At 36.3% G+C, this 26,623-nt stretch overlaps 1 protein-coding gene across 2 annotated transcripts in view, besides 1 other annotated feature; it reads left to right on the top strand.

Moving 5' to 3' along the window:
* The window catches only part of FGF10 (fibroblast growth factor 10), an 89,174-nt gene that overhangs the window by 51,461 nt on the left and 11,090 nt on the right, over positions 1–26,623 (top strand). The window lies entirely within an intron of this gene.
* Positions 8,908–9,122: a silencer, noted in NCBI's record as "fragment chr5:44328940-44329154 (GRCh37/hg19 assembly coordinates)". NCBI's record gives its function as "represses an EF-1alpha promoter that drives an FKBP-Casp9 reporter gene in an ReSE screen in K562 erythroleukemia cells {active_cell/tissue: K562}" and the evidence as "EXISTENCE:reporter gene assay evidence [ECO:0000049][PMID:32094911]".

The following is a 26,623-nucleotide window of genomic DNA, read 5'->3' as shown; positions in this document are numbered from 1 at the left end:
TAATATGCATTTTTTTTTCTGAGACAGAGTCTCGCTGTGTCGCCCAGGCTGGAGTGCAGTGGCACAATTCAACTCACTGCAACCTCCACCTCCCGGGTTCAAGTGATTCTCCTGCGTCAGCCTCCCATGTAGCTGGGACTACAGGCGCATGCCACTACGCCTGGCTAATTTTTTGTATTTTTAGTAGAGACGGGTTTTCACTGTGTTAGCCAGGATGGTCTCGATCTCCTGACCTCGTGATCCACCTGTCTCAGCCTCCCAAAGTGCTGGGATTACAGGCGTGAGCCACCACGCTGGGCCCTAATATGCTTTTTAATGTCCAAATCTGTTTTTGGCATCTCTGACCATTTTATTTTCTAATAGTGCTTCACGCATAGAAAAATGTTGATTTAAAGTACTTTTAATTCAACAAACTGAAATAAATGTTTTCAGTAGATTATTTTTGTGTTTTAGCTAGGCAGTTCTATCATCAAAAGGTAATGATGGTATGGTTTCCTCTTTTTAATACTTATCTTTCTAATTTTTGTTTAATGTTACATTGCATTAACCTGGACTAGTGAGTTAATGTTAAATACTAGTTGCGTCAGTCGGTGTAGTTTACTAAGAGTGAACTTCATTTGAATTCCTGGGATATGCCTCAATTGATCATAATGAGATCTTCTATAATAGACTGTGGAATTCAATTAATTAATGTTTTATCTAGGATTCAATAGTATCTTTCTTTTTGTGTTATCTTAATATTTCAGTATCAGAGTTATGCTACTTTTTTGCAAAATAAATTGGGATCACTAATATAACATAAGCTTACCTATTTTAGAAAAAAAATGTAATAACATTCACAGGTGAAACCACTAGATGTTAAAGCCTATTTTTGGGATTAAAATTTGTTATAATAGTAGTGGCAGAAATAGTGGTACTCTATCTTATTTAAGATAGCCTCTTTCTCAGTTTGAGTCAGCTGTCAGGGAATATAGGATCTAAGAAAATTTGAGGCTCATCTTTGGTTATTTTCAGGTTTACCATTCTGCCTTGCCACTTCCCCAAATTGGTTAGTAAGCGCTCTTTGTCTTCCATGTCACTTCCTCTATCTAGATTTCACCTTAGATGGAACGTAACTAAGATGAAAAGTTGCTGACTTCTGAAATATGCAAAACAAGGAGATTAATAAAAGTAACTGTCATTTTACCATATTCTTTTATCATTCTTCTATATACTTTTAAGGCATCATCTCATTTAATTCTTACCACAGTTCTAAATTCTATTTTTATTTCATATTACAGATGAAAAAACTGGGCTTAGCAAGCTTAAATAATTTGTGGACCCAGGATTTGAACTCCAGCTTTCCAAAGTCCAAATGTATAAGCATTGCTCTATATGGTCTTTCTGTCACTTAGGGTACTCATTAGAGAAATCTTTCCATGAGACAGTTCTTCTCCACCTCTCCCCGGAGGAGGAGGGTGTGGGGAAATGAAGTGATATGATTACAACAAAACAAAGAAGACAAACATAGAATCTGACAATCAGTAATTTTGATCACAGTAAGTATTTGAAACTGATTATCTCTGAATATTATGAAATCAAACCACAAAAAGACGAGAATAAAATATATAAACTAGCACAAAATTATGCATTTAAATACCATGAAAGAAATTTTGAAAAACACCAGTATTTCTTAGACTATTTAAATCATTTTCAGACAAAAATTATATATTTTGAGTAACTCTCATTAAAGAGATAAAATGAATTAGAAAAAAAGAAAGAGAATCAAACTTACAAAGAACTTAAAAATTAGCAGTTATAAAAAGCACAGCTCTCCAAAAACATTAATGAAATACTGATGAAAATTTGGTTTTAAAATATGATGAAAAACATGCAAGTTCATTAATATACAATGATAAAGATAAAACAATTCTACCTTATTCATCTACAAATTTGTGATTCAAATGGTACATATTTTATGTTATCTTATTTCAGTTTTCTTCCCTTTTACTTTCTAGTTGGTCAAACATTTGAATCCATAGAATTGTCCTATTTGTTAGACCTCTGTTGAAGTTATTACTGTTATTAATATTTACCAATTATATTCTGATATTTTAAATATTCAATAATATGAATGTTTATATGAGTTACTAAAATGGGTATGCCTAGGTAAAGTAGCATATTCTATAACATTTGTTTACAGATTGTCTTTCATTTTCAATATGTACTTTCCCAATCTGTATAGTCAATAAAGTGGAAAGCAGTATATTAAAGCTAGACAGGCAACTCTAATCATGGCTTGACTCCTGTATGAATTGGTACAAAGGATGTGTTTTCCATAATTAGCTTCCATGTGCTAAAAAATAATTTAACCTAAATAAATAGAATGTAATTGGCCTTTCTTAATAACACTCAGGTTGTAAATCAATGAATATGTTTAACATGCCAAACATTATATTTGTCACATAGAATTGGGAACATAAAATCTGAATGATTGTTACCAGTAGAATTCCCAAGAGAACTTTTGTTTAGTACCCTTAATATGAAAGTATGTTTTTTGTTTTATACTAAGATACATACTAAGTAGAACACTAGCTATAAATAGAATGGAAAATACAGCCACTAGAGTTTAACTTGATACAAAAAGGAAAATCTGAAGATCTCCAGTCTACTTGGGCATGCTTGAGGGAAGGGAAGGGAGAGTAGGTCATTTCTTCTCACCATTAAGAAAAGATGCATGAATGCCTCTTGGTGAGTGATCATTGTTATGAGTGATTATTGTTATGTTATGAGCCACATATTCCTACCTGTAAGCCTAGTTTGAAAACCAAATTTCATTTATAACTGATGATTAGAAAAAGACTATTCAGATTTATATGTTCCTGTCTTGCTGTTATTTATCACTCTTTCATGATGAAGTTAAATTTTGAGTCTGGAAGTACTTGGAAAAGATTAAATTAAATCAAATACAATATTATATCTTTTTAAAATCCTAACATTAGTAGGGGAAAATGTTCAAGTGAGAATGATTAAGGGAGACAAAGAAAGGGAAAAGTTCTTCTGTGATACAGGGATTTATCTTATGCTTACTCATGATTTTCTCCCAACATTCATGATCAATTTCCACTGAGCCTTTCCTGGGCTTGTTTATGCAAGTATCTTTATTTGTCAGCTGACTAAACAATGTCAGGCACCAGCTTTCGCTAGGCATTACCATATCAGGTGGTAACTACTCTGCAATAGTATCATTTTTTTAGAGCTAGTGAAAAGAGCATTTGGCTGATATTGAAAAAAACATGAGTTTGAATTTCAGCTGGCTTAACCACCAGTTGTGTTAAGCTAGGTAATTCATTCAACCATTAGGACATTTATTGTGTCCAATCCAAATTACTGACATTCTTTAATATGACCTCTAAAGACATTTCCATTGGTAAGCTTCTAACGTTGTGCACATGTGCCCTAGAACTTAAAGTATAATAAAAAAAAAATTTCCCTGTGGGAAGTAACCATATTCCCCTATGTAGTTGGGATAAGAAGGTGGCTTACATTTCTTTTTTTAAGTGACCTGGGAGAGCCTTTATGTTGGTTTTGGATTTCAAGATTTCTTTGTAGACAATGCCTGAGACTATTCCAGAAACAAACTTAGAATATTCTATGAAAGAATGAGAAGAAGCAGTATTTTAAAATGGATTCTTACTCTGGAGTACAGAGATGATATGGCAAAACAGGAACGGATACAAGGCCTAAGGTTGTGGACATAAGGATAGGGCACTATATCCTCATTCAAAATAAAAAAATGGGGCATAACAAAGTTTCAAGACAAGTAACTGATGCTTGCCTGGAAGTGGAAAACTGGGAAGGTAAATTTGAAGTAATATTTACCATTATTATAAGGAAATGATGCCCCTCCTAGTTGTAGCAGCAAAAGAGAATCACCTTTTGCCCCACGTGACCATTTGTTTCTGAAAATAAAGAGGGTGTGGGCCAGAAGATTTAATCTACTGAAGAGGATGAAAGCTACGCTGAAGGGGTAGAGTAGGGAACCAAACTTAAAACAGAGATACAAGTCTCAGGTTCTGCTTTCCCTCCCGCTGCCTCTTCCTACAGCCACGCTCCTCACAGATCGAATAAAAATGAAGAGATGCTGAGACACCAACACACATTATTTATTACTCAAACTGGCAGCCTCACATTATCTCCTTCCATTGCACTAAAGAGGCAGCTGTTGAAAATATGGAACACAGAGGGGAAGGATTCCCCTTCATCTGTTGATTAGCTGGAGTTAACATTTTGAAAATCAATGAAATGCAACACAATCCAGTGGTTAAGGTTTGATGTCATACATGAGTTTGGACCTTGACTTTAACCTCTTTTAGTTTCAGCTTCCTTATGTATATAATGGAGAATATAATGGGGCCATCAAAATAATGGCCGATGTTTGCTTAGCATAGGGTCAAGGACATAGTGATGCTCCATAAATGGGATGACTATTAATCTTCTATAAATTTTGTTATACTTTAACATAGTTGTTTATTCTCTTCTTCTCTGGAATTAACTCATGACAAAATGCCACTGCTGGGTTGGCTTCCTTGCTTAGGTCTATATTCTCAGTACTCAGAACAGTGCTTTGAACATACAGGTTTTTGTTGCTAAACTTTGACTATTCTACTGTCTGGGAAGAAATCTCACTATGCAAGAGTTAAGTGCATCTAGCTATATATACTCAGTGTTCCACCAACACAGCTTACTTCTGTAATAAAATACACAAAAGTAGTGAGTATTTTCTCTCTAGACTGATTTTAATATGTATGTTTACATAATTATAGAATTGTAAAATCTTAACTTTGATTCAAGAAGTTGTAATTTTTTTGGGGGGGGTCAGGACTTCTTTTTAATTAAAATTTACTAAAATATAATAAAAGATAAGAGGAACACAATGTAAGTCCTAATGCATATACTGTCCTATTAAGCCTAGATATAGAAACTTTCTAGAGATTGCTAGTGATCAAGAACTATGTAGTTTTGCCACATGAGCCCTTTCAATCTGGTGGATTTAATTCCTTCTTCATATTCTTCCCCGTCTCCTTCTCATTCTCTTGCCCTTTTCTCTCCTCCTCCTCCTTCCCCTCCTTCTGTTTCTTTTTCTTCCTCTGCATCTTCTGCTAACTAGAAACTTCTTTCATATCCTGTGCCAAATATGTTTCCTTCCTTACTTAAAGTAATTATATACCAAAGAAAATCACTTAAACTCATGCTACTCAAAGTGTGGTCCTAGGACCAGCAGCACTGAAATCACCTGGGAGTTTGTAATGCAGAAGCTAAGGCGTCACCCCAGGTGATGTGTATAGCTTGAGAAGCGCTATTTTAACCAAACTTGTTAACTACTCTAGGGAAGATATGGTTTTATCCACTAGAGGGCAGTAGGACATATGTACCACTGGCATTGCATTTATTTCCCAATTAAAAGCTCTTTTAAGAACCACTCTCAGTTGCCAAATGGATAGTATGCTTGGTTCCTTTAAAGGAAAAAACAACAAAGTCAAACCAGGTTACATAGAGAAATTCAACATGTGAGATTAATGAAATAAGCAGTTCCATGGCACTAGCATAGTATAAAATCAGGTGCCAAATCCTAAATTGTGATTTTGGCTCTTGTTCATAGATCATAGAATTATAAAGCTGGAAAAGTCTTTGATACTCACTGGGGCAACCAACTTATTTTACAGATGAGGAAGGAAACTCCTAGACATTAACTGGCTGTTTCAAATTCATACAGCTTCCAACTTGCCAATCCAAAGCTGGAACTTCTACCAACAAAATCCCTACCCAAAGATTAAGAGAGAGAGAGAGACTTTAACACGATGCTAAACACCTCTTTGTATTATTTAAATGGAAAACTGGGGTTCATACTTGTGCTTTACACATCTATTGGGTTTAATAGTATTCGTTGTTTCTGAAGAGGTGGGGAGATAGGGAGGAATTGGTAGGTTTTTTTTTTCCCTTCAAGTTATTTATATTCTGCTGCACTGCCATCAGAACACAGCTTGCATGTCTCCATCTCAAGCCCAAAAGTGTCCACATTAAATATCAACCAATCACTAAGTATTGAGTAACCACAATATTCATGGCACTGTTAGACATTCTTTTTAGCATGATGCTAGCATGATTTCTGCTCTCGATGATCTTTGGTTATGTGTTATTAACAGCCGGCTGGTAACTGCTTTTAATTTTCAATCCCACATGTATTTTGCATGCAAAATGGGATCAACAACATTGTGTCAGACTCAGAGACACAAAAGGTGATGAAAACTGAGCTGATGGATTCTCATTCATCTAAGGAATTGGCAAGGCTTTACAGAGGAAAGAACCCTAATTGCACATACAACACCCTCAGTACAACTTGCTCACATGTCTTTAAAATGACCTTTTAAAGAATGTTTTAAATGTCAATGCTTTTTTAGAAAACATTGAATCAAACATGAAAATTGCTTGAGAAAAATTTTGCAATCTCCAATTAAAGGCACAGTCACATTTCCAGTTTCCTTTTCCTCTTTCTCTTATTATCAATGGAATTATTTAATAAAGCCTAAAATCACATGAAGTTTATGGATGTAAGAATTTGGATACTGATAGATGTTTACAAACAGTTTCTAAGAAAGAGACTGAATTGTTAAGCAAAGCTCCAAAGTGAAAAATGTAATAAGCAAAGTCTTGGTGGAGTGGCCCCAGAAAAAAGGAGCTCCTAAAATAAGTGCACAAAAATTTTAAGCACTATCTAGTCTGGCTTAATTTGTATCTGGACAAAAGGAAGAGGCTTGTCAGAAATTTAAATTTAGCTCCCAAAGAAATTTTTCAGAACTATGTCTTCAAACCACAGAAAAGCACTTCTCATTTGTCTCTCTCTCCTTTTACCATTAGCTTTAGTATATAAATGAAGTCATAACCATCATAATTTTACCAGGAATCATTACTTATGATGTCTTTTCCCCATGATCTCACCATTAATTATTAAGAATATGAATGCAAATTACTGTTTGTGAGACAAAGTCTGAAGAAAACGTCCATTTTTTTAATTTTAAGCAAACAGTCAATAATCTCACAAAAAATGACGTCTGATCAATGAAGTTGATAATTCTTAGTTTATATTTTGAACAGTTTAAATTGTAATTTTGACATTTTTCTAAGAGACAGATGAGGCTTTATATTGCTTACATAAGCTATGTATGCTCTCTATCCTAACAAATAGTGCAACAGCCATGAAAGAAAACACTAGCATTTAATATGCTTTACCTTCAGCATTCATTACATACACAGTTATTTTAGGAAAGTAATGTTACCATTTGGACTTACTCTACCTATTTCATCTGAGAATATCCTCTGTTTTCCCCTCATTATAATAAAAGAATAGCTCTCAATTATTGCCAGTAATATTAGTGACACACTCATGTTTATATCTCAAATATGCTTTTAATTTTCTGAAACAGAGGCAAATTGCTGGTGATATCTTAATGTTTTAAGGTAGTTAATGCCAAAAGGCTTGGATCTGATCTTAAACTGAATATTTCCCAGATGTTTGGTAGGGTGAAAGGTGGAACTGCTAACAGAAACCAACTTCCTATCCCTGTTATACTTACTTAGGTGAATTTTAAGTAAGGATTAATTAGACATTGAGACCTTATAAGCAGTCAACTTCACAGCTCCCAGAGATAAAAGCTGGGGGCTTGCTCAGTTGTAACATAAGCCATATGTTGAGAAAGCGAAGTCTCAACTGCCACTGTCTCCTTGCACCTTGTTTATAATGCTCCTTTAACTTTCTTTTGAAAATGCAATACTTTTGAAAATGTTGAAAAACTACTAAAGGATTAGACAACTTACTGTTTTTGAGTAAGTATTGGGTAAATACTAAAGTTGCAGAAATACATCCAAAATATTTAACTCACAAGAATGAGCTCATAAATATAAAAGGACAGCTTATGAATGAAAAGAGGAAACTGCTATTAATGTGGCTTATCCTAGACCAGCTTTGTACTGGCAGATACCCTGAGGACACTAAGGCTCTGAAAACTCTGTGTCTCCATGGGAAGCCAGGCTGCCTATTATAGGAAGAGGAATTTAGCGCAAATTCACAGTTGTTTGCCCAGATTCAGTAGGGACTAAAGATGAACTGGAACAAGGTCTTGCCAATTACCCGTGCTTAAGGGTTGGGAGCTTTAGCTTGACAAGATTTTGCCACCTAAAACAGCTGTTTTGTGTTGGAGACCAGATGGTAATTTTGCCAAAACCACTTAAAAGGTCCAAGCCATCAATTTCAAAGCAAATGTTTCTTATATTGGGTACATGCTCATTTTTGTGATTTTTTTTCATTTAAATTTTCATGTGAATATGCGTTCTAGTTTAGGTTGGAGGTGTTGATGAAATAGCAGATAGTGATGCCAAGTTAAGAAACTATCACCAATCTATGCCAGCCAATGAGAAAGATCTACTTCTACAAATATAGAAAAGACTAGGCCAGGCACGGTGGCTCACACCTGTAATCCCAGCACTTTGGGGTGCCGAGGCGGGAGGATCAAGAGGTCAGAAGTTTGAGACCAGCCTGACAAACATGGTGAAACCCCGCGTCTACTAAAAATACAAAAATTAGCCAGGTGTGGTGGCATGCACCTGTAATCCCAGCTACTCAGGAGGCTGAGGCAGAAGAATCACTTGAACTCGGGAGGCAGAGGTTGCAGTGATCTGAGATTGCACTAGCGCACTCCAGCCAGGCCAGCCTGGGAGACAGAGTGAGACTCCACTTCAAAACAAAACAAAAGACTGTACTTGGTAAAACCAAAAGGAATCAATGAAATGCACCTATTTACTAACAGTAAGAGCACAATCTACATTATTAATTCTTCAAATACGTCAACTAGTTATTCTGGGTTGGAATCCACTTGAAATAATTTTTCTTATAAGGTTTTCCTCTTCTTAGGCTATTTATTTATTCAGAGACAGAGTCTCACTCTGTCACCTAGGCTGGATTGTAATGGTGCAATCGTGGCTCACTGCAGCTTCAAACTCCTGGGCTCAAACATCCTCCCAACTCAGCTTCCTCAGTAGCTGCAACTACAGGTGTGCGCTGCCATACCCAGATAATTTTGTATCCTCTCCACTTATCAGTGAGAATACATATTTGTCTTTTTGTGTCTGACTTGTTTCACTTAAAATAACAGCTTCCTGTTCCATCCACGTTGCTGCAAAAGACACTCAGATGGAGTGCAGTAATGCAATCACAGCTCACTGCAGCCTCTACCTCCTTGGCTCAAGTGATTTTCCTACCTCAGCCTTCTGAGCATCTGGGACCACAGGCATGCATCACCATGCCCAGCTAATTTTTCTGTGTGTGTTTTGTAGTGACGCGGTCTCACTATGGTGCCCAGGCTGCTCTCAAATTCCTAGGCTCAAGCAATCCTCCTGCATTGGCTTCCCAAAGTGCTGGGATTACAAGAGTGAGCCACCATGCCCGACCATTAGACTTTTTAAAAGTATTTTAGGAATATACATGAGATTGTCAGTATGGGTTAAGATCTCATAGATAAGATAATTGTAAGGGTTAAGGGAAATGTACAGAATCTGATAAATAAGTATCTTGTAAAGAAAACAACTGGTTATATGTTTTTATGTCTGTAATAAATTTGCCAGCAAATTTGCTACCTAAAGAATTTGTGTCACCATTTTGCTTCAGTTTCAAAGGCAAAAATATCTCTGACTTTCCAATGCGATTACGTTGTTTAGTAGTTAGCCAGCAAGGGCAACTGAACAAAAGAAAACTGTTGATTCTAATGAGCAGTACTCTCTTCACTCAACATCTATGCCAGGATTTTTGGAGGGGTTACATAAAGGTGAAAGGAAAAAAACAAAACAAAACATGAAAACAATTTTCAAGTGCAGCCATTTAAGAGTATAGTATGAATGTCCCTTGAACTTTGTGAGTGGGAAGACATCTAAGGAAATGTCTCTGTAGCTCTCCTTTTGAAAATCAATCTTAACTGGACAAGACCCCTGGCCACAAGCCTATGCAATTAGACTGCATATCCTAGTACCACAAATGCAATTGTTAGCAGCTGTCTTTGTCAACAGGCAAGTTGGAGAAACAATAAAAAGAGGAGCTGGTGATGATGAAAGAGGAAGGGTGTGAAATGGTTGTGTGCTTCCTAGTAGTCTTTAAGTCTCCACATACAGAAAAGAATTTGTGCTCCTCCCTTTAGCTAAAGTGTTGAATGACTGAGAAGGCAAAGAGGGATGAGAAAGCTGTTTGTTGTCTAGAGGAAGAAAGATAGGATATCCTACCATGTCAGAAAGCTGTTAAACACTCAAGATGAAAACACTCATCAGGATTTTAGAATCAACAAGCAGTTGTTTATATTTGGATGTTTGCAGTGGACCTTATTACCTTAACATCCTTGACCAAGTTTGTGAGACAAAGAATATCCAGGGTGTGGACTGAGATATTGGACTTTGTGGTTAAGGGACTCTTTTTAAAAACCTTTTTTAAAAGGTTATTATGACTGCAAACTTGGGTAAGAAAAGGGAGCCAAAGTGGTCCTTGGCTTTTGTTGTGGTTGAAGCAAGTGAATTTAGAAGAAAAAGACTGAGCAGAATAATTCTGGTTTAGGCTTGGGACTCTTTTATTAGTTCTCTTCCTATAGCATACAAGTCACAAGAAATCCTTCTTATGTTTCGTAGATGGCTTTTATACCCAGTAAACATCAAATATTGTCAGTGTGATTTTTCACAGGGATACATTTAGCAGTCAGTCCCTCATGGTACACGTTTATTATTTTGAGTTGAATATGCATATGTTAAATAATGGGAGGATTCAGCCTCAGGCTGGAAACCACGCTGAAGACTGAAGAAAACTTGGGGCAGTGGGTGGGGAGTGCTGCTCTATAGTCCTGCCTACCCTGGAAGGGCTTCTGATTTTACCCCACTGAGTACCCTGGGCAGAGTTGAGACACAATTAAATAGGGAATACCTGCCAACAGAGGAACAGCTTCCCTTTTCCTGTAGTGTCCCCTTTCAACTTGAGAATTGAACAGAAAGAACACCGAGCACTTCTTTCTTCTTTCCTTTTTCTAGGAAAAAATGAGTTTGCCAAGTTGAAACAAGTACTTTTCACATGAGTTTCTTCAGATAAATTTATTAATTTGTTTACATATATACATATGAAATATGATCCCGGTGCTGGTAGTACAGCATCAGGTAAGAGAGGCAGATGAGGTCCATATGAAGAAAGAAGTATGCTTTCAATAAACTAAGGGTGGTCTCAACACTTTGGGAGGCTGAGATGGGAGGATTGCTTGATCCTGGGAGATTGAGAACAGCTTAGGCAACATAGTGAGACCTCTGTCTCTACAAACAATATTAAAAAAAAAAAAATTAGCTGGGCATGGTGGTTTGTGCCTGTAGTCCCAGCTACTTGGGAGGCAGAGTTGGGAGGATCGCTTGAGCCTGGGAGGTTGAAGCTGTAATGAGCCATGATCATGGAACTGCACTCCAGCATGGGTGACAGAGTGAGACCCTGTCTCAACAATAAATACGTAATAAACTAAGGGCAAGTTGGATCTCTTTTAACTTCAAGCTAAATATGCCATCCTCTTCATCATACTTCTCAATTGTACTACATGATCAGAGATCAGAATGTTGAAAGAGTTTGAAATCTGCACACTAAACATTTCTCCTCTAAACTAAAAGATACCTAGTTCTTGTATCAGTGCATTAAGAAATAGGCTCAGCTACACAGTAGCTATAATCTATACATAAGGAAAAATTGCTTAATAGAGTTCTATTCCTGAGTTCCATTTCCATGGTTTGCCAGAGTTTAATTAAGTTTCTCAAGCTTTTTAAGGGCATGTCTATTTTTATTTATTTCTGTTTTGGTTAAGTTTTATTTTTATTTTTAAATGCTTTTTGACCTGTTTTTGTATAAGATAGATGTGTATCTATTCATATACATACCTATTGAATAATAGTGACTGTGAAATATATGCTGTATGATGGGTACTGAATTTGAGTCTATTTTGTTGAAATATAGAGACTTCAAATATATCTTTTCTTTTTTTTAAAATTTTGTATTATACTTTAAGTTTTAGGGTACATGTGCACAACGTGCAGGTTTGTAACATATGTATACATGTGCCATGTTGGTGTGCTGCACCCATTAACTCGTCATTTACATTAGGTATATGTCCTAATGCTATCCCTCCCCCCTCCCCAGGCCCTGGTGTGTGATGTTCCCTTCCTGTGTCCAAATGTTCTCATTGTTCAATTCCCACCTATGAGTGAGAACATGCAGTGTTTGGTTTTTTGTCCTTGTGATAGTTTGCTGAGAATGATGGTTTCCAGCTTCATCCATGTCCCTACAAAGGACATGAACTCATCATTTTTGATGGCTGCATAGTATTCCATGGTGTATATGTGCCACATTTTTTTAATCCAGTCTATCATTGTTGGACATTTGCGTTGGTTCCAAGTCTTTGCTATTGTGAATAGTGCCGCAATAAACATACGTGTGCATGTGTCTTTATAGCAGCATGATTGATAATCCTTTGGGTATATACCCAGTAATGGGATGGCTAGGTCAAATGGTATTTCTAGTTCTAGATCCCTGAGGAATCGCCACACTGACTTCCACAATGGTTGAACTAGTTTACAGTCCCACCAACAGTGTAAAAGTGTTCCTATTTCTCCACATCCTCTCCAGCACCTGTTGTTTCCTGACTTTTTAATGACCGCCATTCTAACTCGTGTGAGATGGTATCTCACTGTGGTTTTGATTTGCATTTCTCTGATGGCCAGTGATGATGAGCATTTTTTCATGTGTCTTTTGGCTGCATAAATGCCTTCTTTTGTGTCTGCTCATATCCTTCGCCCACTTATTATGACACTAAATTTGATGTCTATTTGGATATCATTTATAAGATCCTTATATAAAAACAAATAAACAGGGTTTACTTTGAATTTTACCAAGGAATAATCTACATTGAAATTATGTTACACACAGTTTTTTTCCTGATCTTTAAGAATTAGCAAAAAAAGAGGAAACATTTGCAAAAGAAATTGAATAGTATGAAACTGTTGGATGTTGCTTATTCCTTATAGATGTTTACATTAATTTATTAATCTGACTTGAAAAAGTCAACCACTTTACCTAGAATTAGGTTTTGCCATTTTGGTGGCAAGTTGAAAAGTTGTTTTCAAATTTGTCCAGTCTTTTCCAGCCTTTGTTTTTCCCTGTCTCATATTTATGTACCAACATTTTAATCATCATGCATTATTATAAATTATTTTATTTCAGTTGAATTTAATAATTATCTGACAACACTTTATAAGCTAGTCAGATTTGAGAAAATCAATTTAAAGTCCTTCTTACAATTCATTATATGCAATAAATAATATTAAGAGAGTCTTTCTTCTGGAAGGAATGCCTTCAGATTTTGACGAATAAATGTAAATAAAAACATTTCTTCAAGATATGATATTGTGCGGTTTTATCTAGCTGAACCCAGGTACGTTAAAAAGAAGTTTAAGGTAATGTTTTTCTCAATATTCTTCTTCTAAGTTTTAAAAGTTTTGACAGTTTCAGATAAAATTTGACGAGGAAAGTTAGACATTTACAGTTAACATGGCTTGGATATATATTTTAATAATGCATTTAATAATGTAATATATACAAAGTCAAGTCAGTTCAATAATTTTCTTTTTTTTCAGTGTTTCTTCTCTTTTAACTTTTAGCTTTTGCCTTTCCCTTTATGTCCCTTGTCCTTTAATCTGGATCCCAGCAATATTTTATGTGCATGAGAACTCAAGTACATAGTAGTTTTAATCTATCATCTATTCTTAAATAATGAAATTTCAACATATTCCATTTAGAATCATTTACTAAGACACCAAGAGGAGTATGAAATAACACTTGTTTGTGTGTAGATAGATAGGTAGATAGATAGGGATATACATTATTTTTATCCACTTACTATTCTCTTTGCATTTTTAAAACTCTCTTAATGTTTCCTGTTGATTTTGTAGCACCAATTCCCACATAAAATGTGTCCCTTACCCATCAGTTTTCATTTTCAAATTGGATCAGATAGATCATGTTTTTTCTTAAAGGGCATGAGCACTTTCTCAAGAACATACTACTTTAAAACAATGTAAGCATTTTTAAAAAGTAAAACAGGATAATGGGATAATTTCTGGTCTTTTCTATCAAGAGGAAACAGATCATAATGTGCCAGATTGCACTCATCCTCTCTAGGAATTTCTTTATAGATAGTTTGTTAACTCAAGACTTAATAAAAGTGTTTCATGAGCTTTAGAAAAACATCTTACCTAACAATCCATTTCCCACATTTAATTACAAAAAACAATAATGCATATATGTTGGATTCTAATATCAATCCTTAGTTGCATCTTACTAAAGAATGAGTAATGCTCCCTCCCCACATGTGGTTAAGGTAATAGTACCTGTTCTTAGACCATCTCTAGCCCAGTGTTGCTTTTCCCATGTTATCTGTACTATAATGTCAGATTTTCATGCTGAGTTCTAATATTTGTTTAATTACTTTCTTAAAATACAATTTTTAAGCACCAGGAAAACCCTTTAAACTAATTTCTATGAAAGTACTTTCTCTAACATTTCCTACAAAATACTGGCTGCATGCTTTACTAGTAGTCACATTGTATTTAGTAGTCAGAAATGATGTGTGATGCTCTCTTCTTGTATTTCCAACCTATGGGTTCTGTTTTCTTTCTTTGCCAAGTGTGAGTTGTGGCAAAAATAGGACATTTCCATGGACTTTAGGGATAAAGAACCACTTCAGTCTTGGTAATCATCCCAAAGGGGGTGATCTGTAGTCCAGAAAGCCAGGACCTTCCAAAACATATTGATTAAACATCTCCTTTACAGCAGAAGCCAAAAATCTTTATTGCCAATATTATAAGTTATAGCAGTGTTCCCCAACTTTTTTGGCACCAGGGACTGATTTTGTGGAAGACAATGTTTCCATGGACCGGTGAAGGAGATGGTGTCAGGGGGATTCAGTCACATTACTTTTATTGCGTACTTTATTTCTATTATTATTATTACATTGTAATATATAATAACATAATTATACAACTCACCATAATGTAGAATCAGTGGGAGCCCTGAGCTTGTTTTCCTGCAACTAGATAGTCCCATCTACTCCATAATCTCATTTTGGTTGCTGTCACTGCAGAAAACCCTGCTTCACAAAGATAGAATGTTGGAAATTGAAGCAGGCTCTTTGGTGCTTTTGTGGCAATTACAAGATATTCTGCCTTGACTTTAATCCAGAACATATGGAGATTTGAAGTTGTCTCAAATATATTTTAAAGTCCACTGTCATTTGTGATCTCAAGCAGTTGATCCTTTTCTAACATGGACAAAGTCCATTCACCTGGCTTATTCATAAATGGGTCATGGATCCATTTCTTCCCAGTTTGGGGTCTTTTGAGTAATACTCAAATGCTTTTGAAAGCTGAGGTAAGTGATCATGTACCAGCTGTGAGAAAGAAGGCCCTGGCTCAGCCTCTTTATAAATCACAGCTAATGTTTAAAACATATCAGAAATCCCAATGTTCACTCATCACCCCCATAATTCTACTTTGGCTTTTAATGCAGACCCTTTTGCTGACTTGAACACAGTTCTCATTCTCCCCTGAAGTGACAGATTGAGTTTGTTGACTAGGTTGAATATGTCACACAAATAGGCAAGTTTTGGGACCCATTCTGTGTCACTGAAATGTGCTGCCAGTGGTGATTGTTGTTCTAAAAATCTCTGGAGTAGTTCTCATAACTCAAAAACTCTGGCCAGGGATCTACCTTTAAAAAGCCATCTCACTTCTGTGTATAAGGGAAGATGTAGCTGGGCGCAGTGGCTCACACCTGTAATCCCAGCACTTTGGGAGGCTAAGGCGGGCAGATCACTTGAGGTCAGGAGTTCAATGCCAGCCTGGCCAACATGGAGAAACCCTGTCTCTACTAAAACCACAAAAATTAGCCGGGCATGGTGATGGGCACCCTATAATCTCAGCTACTTGGGAGGCTGAGGCAGGAGAATCACTGGAACCCAGGAGGCAGAGGTTGTGGTGAACTGAGATCGTGCCACTGCACTCTGGCCTGGGCAACAGAGTGAGATTCTGTCTCAAAAAAAAGAGAAGATGTGTGTGCTCTCTGTCTGTCTCCTCACAGAACTGTGCAAACAGACATGAGTTAAGAGCATGTACTTTAATGTGGTTGATAATTTTAATCACATCCTGCAAAATGTTGTTAAGTTCAAGTGACATTTTTTGGCTAGCCAGCATTTCTCTGTAGATGACACAGTGCATAGACTCACATTCAGAAGCGACCTCTTTGACCCGAGCAGTGAAATCAGAAAGCCATTTTAGTCACGGCAGCTACTCTGTCTATGCATATACTGACACAAAATGACCAATTCAGTTTTCTTGATATATATTCATTCAAAGACTTGAATGTTTATGCAGCTGTGGTGTTGATTGCCAACAAAAGTGCACATAACAAATCCTCATGCACATCCTCCTGAAAAATATATTGCACTAAAACAAGCATTGTTGCCTTGTCAACATCAATAGACACATCAACCTAGACTACATACCATGGTGACTCATTAGTCCTCTCTAACAATTGTGCCCTGATATCCCCTGCTATTTCATCAATTGGTCTAGTTATGGTGCTAGCTGAAAGAGGAACATGTGCCAACTTTTGAACTGCAGCCTCTTCTGTAAGTTCATGACAAATGTCCTTAGCAGCAGGAAGGATCAACTCTTCACCAATAGTAAAGGGTCTCTTAGCTGTAGCAATGTGGTTAGCCACTAAGAATGATGCTCTCAGTTTAGACACATTTGATGAAGTGGTGTCCTTCAATGTTTGCTTCTGTTCTTCATGTTCATCTTTTTTTTTTTCTTTTGAAAAACTTCAAAATGGACTGGCACTTTGGGAGGCCTAGGTGGGTGGATTGCTTGAGGCCAGGAGTTTGAGACCAGCCTGAGCAACATGGTGAAACCCCATATATACAAAAAATACAAAAATCAGGCATGGCGGCACATGCCTGTGGTTCCAGCTACTAGGGATACTGAGATGGAAGGATCACTTGAGTCCGGGAGGCAGAGGTTGTGCCACTGCACTCCAGCCTGGGTGACAGAGTGAGACCCTACCTCAAAAAGAAAAAAAAAGTAGAGAAAAAGAAAAAAAAAGAAAACCTCCAAAGACTTGAACTTGACTTTTGACACAGGGTGCTTAATCTGCATGTGGTGAAGAAGTTTTAAAGGTTTTATGGCTTTTTTGGATAGCCAGTCATCACATATTATACAAAGCAGGCTTGCAGAATGAATGTGAATCACCTGTTGCAGTGAACCCATAATTTAAGTGGGACTCTTGTTATTTTCTTTTAAATGCTGAATTTTTGTAGGCAGTCTTAGAAGTCTTCCGCTGTTGCATCACTGGGTCTTTCCCTCCTTCAAAGAAGCACTCCAGTGATGTTTGTTTTTTACTCATTTTGGCTGGGTTAGCTTGAGGGCTTACCAAAACTGTGACTGAAACAAGTGCACAGTGCAGGAAAGAAGCATGGGTGGAAGTGGTAAATACAATAATGGATGGGCCATACATGGACTAAATTAAGTGCTAGATTCTGACTTAAAGCCTGACACCAGATGCAGCACAGATAGGGTTTTGATATGAGTCTGTAAGCAACTGATTTATGATGGTCTCTGTGCAGTCAAATCTGTCTGCTAACGTTCATCTATATTTGCATCTGCTCCTCAGTGCTAGCATCACCACCTCAGCTTCACCTCAGATCATCAGGCATTAGATTGTCATAAGAAGCATGCAACCCAGTCCCTCACATATGCAGTTCACAATAGTGTTCGAGCTCCTATGAGAATCTAATGCTGCTGCTGATCTGATGGGAGGCAGAGATCAGGCAGTAACGACTGATGGGCAGTAGCTGTGGAGTGGCTGCAAATACAGATGGAGCTTCACTCACTCACCACCGGCCACTTCCTGCTGTGCAGCCTGGTTCCTACCAGGCCATGGACCAGTACCAGTCCATGGCCCAGTGGTTGGAGGCCCCTGAGTTACATAAATATATAGTTATGGCAAATGAATCAATGTTGCCATTTGTCAAGTATACATAAATAGATAAATTGTCTTTCTGCACAATCAAATCAAAATTCACATACCACACAGTGGAATATATATTTCTTATAAGTATTATGATTACCCACTAAGTAATCATGGAAATAATCTTTGAAGGAATTAAGAGGCCAATTATGTATTATTCTATACCATGTTGGAAGCTTGTCAAATTTACAATACACATGTTCAAAGTGAGCCTACAGCTTGAACCCCTCAAACTTATTCCATATTAAGTATTTAAAACTACTCAGGGCTGTTCATGATTAGCAAATTTGTGAACACTTTAATGCATCAAGTAAGACTTTTTCTTACAGGAAACCCAATATCAAGATGTGCTCTACTGACCCATTTTATTATTTTCCTTAAATTGAGGAGAAAAGATACTCTATATTATAATTAGTTATATTAAAGAAATTCATAAAAACCTGAGTAAATGTGGTAGACAGTTTATAGCAATGTCTTTAGGGTAAATGTCTATATTAACATGTTGATCATTTATTAAAATATGCCATGCAGTAACTCCTCTAACCCTTTATGTGGCTTAATTTTTTTTCTCTCTTTATAAATAAAATGCAGTGGCCAAGCCCAAATAGAATGAATTGTTTCTGTGTAATGAACAAGATATAAAATCTTTGCCTGGCTGCCAACTGTTTGTAAATGTTAGCAGGAGCCTCATGGTGAGGTAGACTAAGTATTTACTTAAGGCTCTAAGTAACCTTTACAGGTAAGTCCCTCAATCTCTCTGGATTTCCCAATGTCATCTATTACGAAAGAGAATTGGATATGAAACAGACAATATCTAGATTTCTTCGAAATCTTCTCTGACTCTACAATTTGCTAAGACCAAGCCTTAAATGATCTGAACTTTTCTCACTAAAATAACAAGTATTTTTTAAATTTAGTAATTTTAGCTCAAATTAGATTGATCAGAGGTTTTGATTGAACATAGAAGATATCTCAAAATAATGTAAAATAACTTAGTACTTTGGGGAAAAATATGACAGTTGACATGCTTGCCAAAGCTTCTGTATCATAATAGATCTAATCTAGGTAGTAAGTTGGCTTCTACTGATGCATAACATGTTTCTAACATTATTTTGCATTCTGGATATATTTTCCCAGAAGTGATAACATTGCAATGATTGTGCCTTATTTTTGCATGGTCAGTATATGAAACTTTCTGTACAGACTGGCAGACTTTCTGTCCTTCCAATGCTCGCGAGAAGACACAAACCACACAAAGATTCCCTTGGGATTTTCCTTAAAATATGAAATGCATTAGATAAGAATAGAGACAAAAGTGGGATGTGGCCATGATGCTCTGGCAAAAAGCCAGGATTTCGAACTTTTCAGAATTTTTGAAGGGTTGAGTTATCTACTAAAGGAAATGAGGGGAAAGAAAAACCAATAAATTGCTACATAAAACTTTATATAGAAATATGTTTTCTGATACAGAAATGTTTACCTATCGGGAAGAATTACTCTCTGCCTTGCTCATGGCTTTGTTACCATTCAAATGAATTGTGCAGGACTTTTCTAACGTAATCGTTCAGGCTTCTTTTCTTAACTTTTCTGTCTTGTACCATTTCCCGCAATTTATCCCATTGCAAAATGGGATCAAAAGTCAGTTATCTTGGGTCACAGCAAATGACTCAAACATGTAAGTGTTTCCAGTAGTTGTTGTTTTTTTGTTTGTTTGCTGGATTGCTGGTAGTTGGGAATAAGGGTAGAGTTTCTATCTCCAGGGGAACACAAGCTTTTCTAGATCTTTATTTTACCCAAAACTAGCGATAGAATCATTTCACACTTTGTGAATTCAATTTATATCAGCACTTATTATGAACAGTTCTCAAGAATTACAAATCCATTTCTGTCCTAGACACGTGTCATTTGTGTCTCACTGTGAATGTATCCTAAGAACAGAGAGGATAATGTTTGAAAACATGACATTATTACAATATTGATAAGTAATTATTTCCTGAAATATTTCCATAATGTTAAATACATTTAAAAAATCTCTACCAGTGAGGAAAAAATTAGAAAAAAAAAGTCAAGTTTACCAAATCTATTGATCTAGCACAGTGTTGTGAAGAAACCTATTAGATGGTCATCTGCAAATATTTGTTCACTTATGATCACTGTGAAAGATCTGGAGTCATATTTCATTTGTAATAAAAATGCAGTAAGAAATTGATCTTTAACACACTTTAACAATTAATTTACCACTTAAGAATATTGTCCCTATATTGCATTGTAAGTTTCTGATACTTTTAATGTTAGATCAATGACAATGGCTGAATGACAATATTGGTTAAATATAGTCTTAAATTGACAAGTGTTTTGGGATCTGCCACTGTACTCATCAATAAGGCTAAGCTAGGCACTGTATTTATCCTATGACTTGAATTATCAGGTGAGAATGTAAAATGTCATTTTGGTATTTAGCATACTGTGAAAGATATATCATCTTATCCAGAGATAGAAAGGATTTTCTGCAAATTCAGATCTCATTTCTATCTGTAATTCCAAATGCATGTCAAGCGTATTGACAGAACTGTGGAAGATAGAGAAACTAAATAACTCAAATACATTATACTAAAAAGGCAACCAGAGTGTATAATGGTAGGAGGTGGACTAGACATAGATTACTGATTAGCCCAGTCTAGTACCCTCCTTTTAATGGCAATGAGATCATTCTAGAGCAAGTATTAATACATGCTTTCAACACTGGGTGTAGGGTGAAGGATAAAGTGGAGCCCTATTGCTTTGAGACAATTTCTTGACCATGTGCATATATTTAAGGGGGCCATATAGTCCTTTAATTCTTGGTGTTAACACAGTTAGCCCTTTGAAAAAGCCCATAAAATTCTTATGAGTAGTTGAAGGCACTTAAGTTTCCACCAACATTTCCACACTTTTAAAATGGAGAAGAAAATAAAGATTCTGATGACTATCAACAACAATGCAGTATATCTGTACACAAATCCCAAATTCACAATACCATAGTTATGTAGATGTTAAAAATCCCATACCTGTTCAAAAATGAGGTTACTAATTTTCCACATTGTTTAAAATTTTTCTTGTTGTTAAGCTGCCGCTATTACTTGTGTGTATTCCTGTCTGTGGTTCTGCTTCTATGCACACGTTCTGTCAATGCTTTTTTGCATCAAAGCTGTGCTTTGTCTCTGAATCATATTGTATAGAACAGTGTGTGGTCCTTGGAAAAGCAGAATCAGCACTGTTTGGAAATATGCCAGGAATTCTAATTCTCTACTCCAATCTAGAATTACTAAGTCAAAAATCCCAGCAATCTGTCTTTAAGCAAGTCTTCCAGATGATTCTGATGCACGTTCATATTTGAGAACTATTGGTATAGAAGGTTGGTTAACTTGCCACTATTCTGATTGAGCACACAGTAAATATATATTTAGCACCCACTCTCTGAGATTCTTTGCAACCCTATGAGCTATAGGCCAGCGGTCCCCAACCTTTTTGGCAGCAGAGACTGGTTTCGTGGAAGACAATTTTTTACACGAAAGGGAATGAGGAGATGGTTTGTAGATGAAACTGTTCCACCCCAGATTATCAGGTATTAGTTAGATTCTCATATGGAGTGTGCAACCTAGATCCCTTCCTTGCATTGTTCACAGTAGGGTTCGCACTCCTGTGAGAATCTAATGCTGCCACTGATCTGATAAGAGGCAGTGCTCAGGCAGTAATGCTAGTGATGGAGAGTGGCTAAATACAGTTGAAACCTCGCTCTCGCTTGCCTATGGCTTGCCTCCCGCTGTGTGGCCCAGTTCCAATATTGGTCCATGGGACATTACAGTTCCCATAATGTTTTGAGGCTTCACTTCATTTAACTTTGTTTCATTTTTAAAGAGAGGTAAAACCACATTTAGAGCCATTTAGACTCACACTATGGTATGGCCACATAATCCCAGAGGTATTAGTGAAAATGTGATAACAACCCCAAGGAGCTCCCTAAGTCCTTCTGTGCTAGGATATAATAGATGAACTTAGGACACTGACAACAATTCTTGGGAGAGAGAGGTTTCATTTAGAGAGGTTAGTATTTGTGTCTTACATTGTGCTAACTATGATATGTTTCAGCACCTTGATTAAAACTATAAAACTATATAGCATTATAATCAATTTCAAGTTAAAATGTTTAGAGAAAAATAGATGTGACTGATTCTGAATTAATGAGACTTTCCACGTTTCACAATAATTTTTTTTTGGAAAGTACATTCCTCACCCAGAAAAGCACCACTACCACTCAATGAAGCAGAACCTTTAGTTTTAGCTAGTGGCCACCTCAAAGTGCCATTGGGGGAGGTGGGGAGAAATGTGGCTCAAGCACTTGAGCTCTTTCTCTCTCCAAGCCTGTTTTTATGCATGCACTTTCTCTCCCTGGAATGTTCCTTCTCAACTTCCCAAATCCCCCCTATTAAAACCCTGCTCTTGAAAAGTCACCTCAAACACCAGCTGTCTTCTTCAGGATGGCTTCACTATTTAAAGTAATGTATAACATATTTTATCTCTCATACCACACTTAATATATTTTCTTTCTGGTTTTTTTTTTTTTTTGTATTGTCATTACTTATTTGGGTCTTTATTTTATTGAGCTTTAAAACTCCTTGAGGCAAGGACCACATCTTGTTTGCCTTTGTAACCTTCAGAATGAGAGCTAACACCTACCCTGCACACTGGTGCTTAATACACATTAGCTGAATTAATTTACTCAGTCTATAGAATTCCATTGTATATTTATGTTCTATTTATCTAGGAGTGGATAGAAGGATTTTGCACTTATTTTTCACATCTAGTTTTCCTTGTCTATATCCATTCTATTAAATACAAGTTTTATTTGCCATATACTTTCTCCTTTTGTGTTTATGGAAAAATATTTAGTGAGAAACTTACCCTCCAGACCAATAGCTTTTTCATTCTAATAGCACCAAAACAGAAGAAGCCTTTGTCCAACATGATTGCTAGGGGGACAATAGGTCAGATGCTCCTCTTCTGGAGAAGAATGAGAAGCAGCAGCTGGGAAAGATGCTTGTGAATGGCCACCTTCTCAGATTAACTATTTAGTCACTCATCAAAACATTACCAGCCCAAACAATTATATATATGAGTATTAAAAGAAAAAAATGCATTTACACGAAAATTGTGACTTCTAAGTTATTTCCACTCAGAGATTATCAAGTCACAAAATTTTCTCCATTACTAAGGTGATGATGCATCATGAGGGAACATTCGCAAAGTAATATGAACTGATTTTTGTCATAATCGCTTTTGTAATGTTGACTATCAAACTTTATTTTTTAAGATTTTAAATATAATCTAAAATAAGCTTTATAGATTGCTACTATTTACTGAAGAAATTTGCTAAATATTACTTTATTTCTAATGTATTCTTTAAACAATTTTATATTTGTAGACAAAATCCTTCCTAGTTGCCAAAATTCTTAGAATCTGCACAAGATGTTTACTAAACTGAGTCTCATTATCTCCCAACTTCACTTTTCCCAGCTTCCTGACTTGTTCCTTGTACTCCAGTTGGTAAATCAAACCTCTTATGATATTTGAAAACACCATACTGTTTTACCTTAATAATTTGCTCTTGCCTTCCCACCCTTCCCAGCCTTCCCCTGGACACTTCTTAACCTTCATGACTCAGTTCAGGTCTCATCTCCAACAATAATTTGATCGTGGAACCCCAGCCAGTATGACCTGCCTTTACCTTTGCCCCATAGTCCCCTTGTCATCATCTTAAGTCATCACTTACTGCCATGTAACATGTTTTATTGTAATTATCTGTGTTTGTCTTTTATTCCCAATAGTACATAGACTTATCAATAGAAAAGCCATTACGTATTTGACTTTATATTTTCATTTTCTAAAAGCGTACCCTTCTCCTCCTAGGTCTTCCTAAGTGATTGAACTAAATTGTCCAAAGACCCTTAAATAGATTCACAATACTACCTGGGCTATTCATGTTTTAAGGGACATAAAAACTAATATAGTTACAACTTAATATAAATAATAGAATTTCACTACAAGAATATGCCTATAAATTTACAAAATATCTGTTTTACATGAATGGGAAATATAATTCATGTGTCCTTTCATTAATAATATAATTTTCAGGTGTTTCTTTGAGTTAAAAAAAAAAAAACCTTTTTTTATAGCTTTTAATGTTAAGGTAATTGTAGAGTCATAAACTTGTAAGAAACACGGGGAGATCCAGTATGCCCTTAACTCACTTTCCTCCAGGAGGCTCTTTTAACTGGCATTTAGTTTTGATTCAAAATATACACATATAGAACTATAAGCTACTGATCCAACAATCCTCAAACAAAATTCTGGAGCTCCTTTCCAAAAATAATTTGATAGGCAAACTTGATCATCCTCACCAAAGAACAGAAAAACTGGAGTGATTCCTTACAAAAAGTAAAGAAGTCCTCTAGGCTTCAGTCCTTCAGAACTCCCCTTTCACATTCACAGATGTTTATAATAGGTGCAGTCATTGTCCATTACTCACAAGATGATCAAATTATAACTTACCTGACCATACGCTGCGTCCCAAAATTATTTTCAAAATTCGAAAGGATATTAAATCACCTATGTCTTCCCTCTATTTTGAAACAATAACTAAATAATAATATAAAAATAATAGCTAAACCTTTTTAAGCTTGCCTAAACTAGTTGCAAAGTGGAAAAAAAATGGTTGATTGAGTCTTTGAATATTGTGCTCCCATTTCAGGTAAAGCAGAAAGAAACAAAGGGGTATCTAAGCTAAATATAATCTACAATACCACTTGCAGTTCATCCTCAGAAATAACGGGTCAAAAATTCAGTTGTATCTTATACTATTACTATAGCTCAGTCTGTTAGTATAGTTTAATCCCAGGACGTTGCATGCACCTTCACAAATATTGGTTTATTTTTTGCTTAAAATCATCCTTCATTCCTCTTTGTTCTATTAATTTTCAGTTTCAAAAGTATACATAAGAGAATATCTTGCAGTTTACTGACAGTACTTTCTTGTCTTTTGGCCAGACAATGTAAGCAGCTGCCTAATCTTTTGCCCCTGAATTCTACCTCCTGCTCTGCTCTGTATCTTCTGCTTATGACATAAATAAAGTATGTTAGATTTTGTTCTCTAAGATTCAGACGTTATCCTCTATGGCATGCCATCATCCTTGGGAGGAACAGCACATTAAGTCATTAAAGAAAATTATCTTGATGAGTCATTTTGTCAGATGGTTTGCAACAGGGTTCCCTTGTAGGAATGGGAAAGAGGAGGAAGATGTGATGGAGAGGCAAAGTAGTCAGAGATGGGGAGCAATAGAGTCTAAAAGTCAGAGGCTTAAGTGTTAACATCCATTATTACCGACCTTTATCACCTTACCACCTGTGTGTGTGTGAGTTAAATAACCTAAGTATCTTCCGTTTTTATATTTGTAATCGAGACTAACAACAGTATCCTTAGAGGGCTATTGTGTGAATTAAGAAAATATTTTTCAGAATATGCAAATAAATGTGCGTGTGTGTGTGTGTGTGTGTGTACCTTAGGGAAACTACCAGCATAAGGGAAATGGATGTAAAAAAACACAAATAATGTCTCCTTCATCCTTCACAATCTTTCCTTGGTTTTGGCTTGCAAATAGAGTGAGATATATCTCTTTTGATGAAAAGGAGTGCTGTGTTAGGTCAGAGACTTCCTACAGATACATGGACAGAAGGGTCTCTGACATGTAGTCTTGGCAAAGTCTCTGGTTATGTCAACTTGGCAACAGGGGAAACTCAAGCATTTCTATTGGCCTCCATAAGGCTAACCTGTGAAGGAATAGGAAAGAAGGTATTCATCTCTCGAGAATAAGCTAAGCCACTCTATCTCTATGGGAAGAGTGAAAACATATAATCTGTAGACTGCATTGGGGATGGTGTTTCTCATGATACATGACAAATGATAATATGCTCAACTTTCAGATTTCATGTATTAAGCCAATGGGAATTTGTATGTATTGTTCAGGATTTACATAGCCCATTGAAGAATTTCCAAAATCTAGCACTGTTGGAGAAAAACTACCCTCTGATGATAATTAAGAAGATACTAAGCTCCAGGCAAATTCTAATAATTTTATAGGTACTATCTCATTTAATATTCACAACAAAATTATGAGGGAGGTACTATTATGTTGCCCATTTTGCAAATAAAATTGAGTCATGGGACACTTCAGTGACTTCTCCTATGGTAATTCACTAATAAATGTAGAGCCAGGAGTTGAACCCAGACATTTTGGCTCCAGAGGCCACATGCTAATCACGATGCTACTTCTCTACCCTGAACAAACTGCTGAGAGTTATGAAATAAGTAGTTTTAGTTCCCTAGGTCTTCTTAAACTAAAATGGGTGGGCACTTTT

The sequence above is a fragment of the Homo sapiens genome, chromosome 5 (genome assembly GCF_000001405.40).
Source record: "Homo sapiens chromosome 5, GRCh38.p14 Primary Assembly".
Classification (NCBI taxonomy): Eukaryota; Metazoa; Chordata; class Mammalia; order Primates; family Hominidae; genus Homo; species Homo sapiens.
The sequence above is the reverse complement of the archived record's forward strand: the minus strand, read 5'-3'. Positions and strand labels throughout refer to the sequence as shown.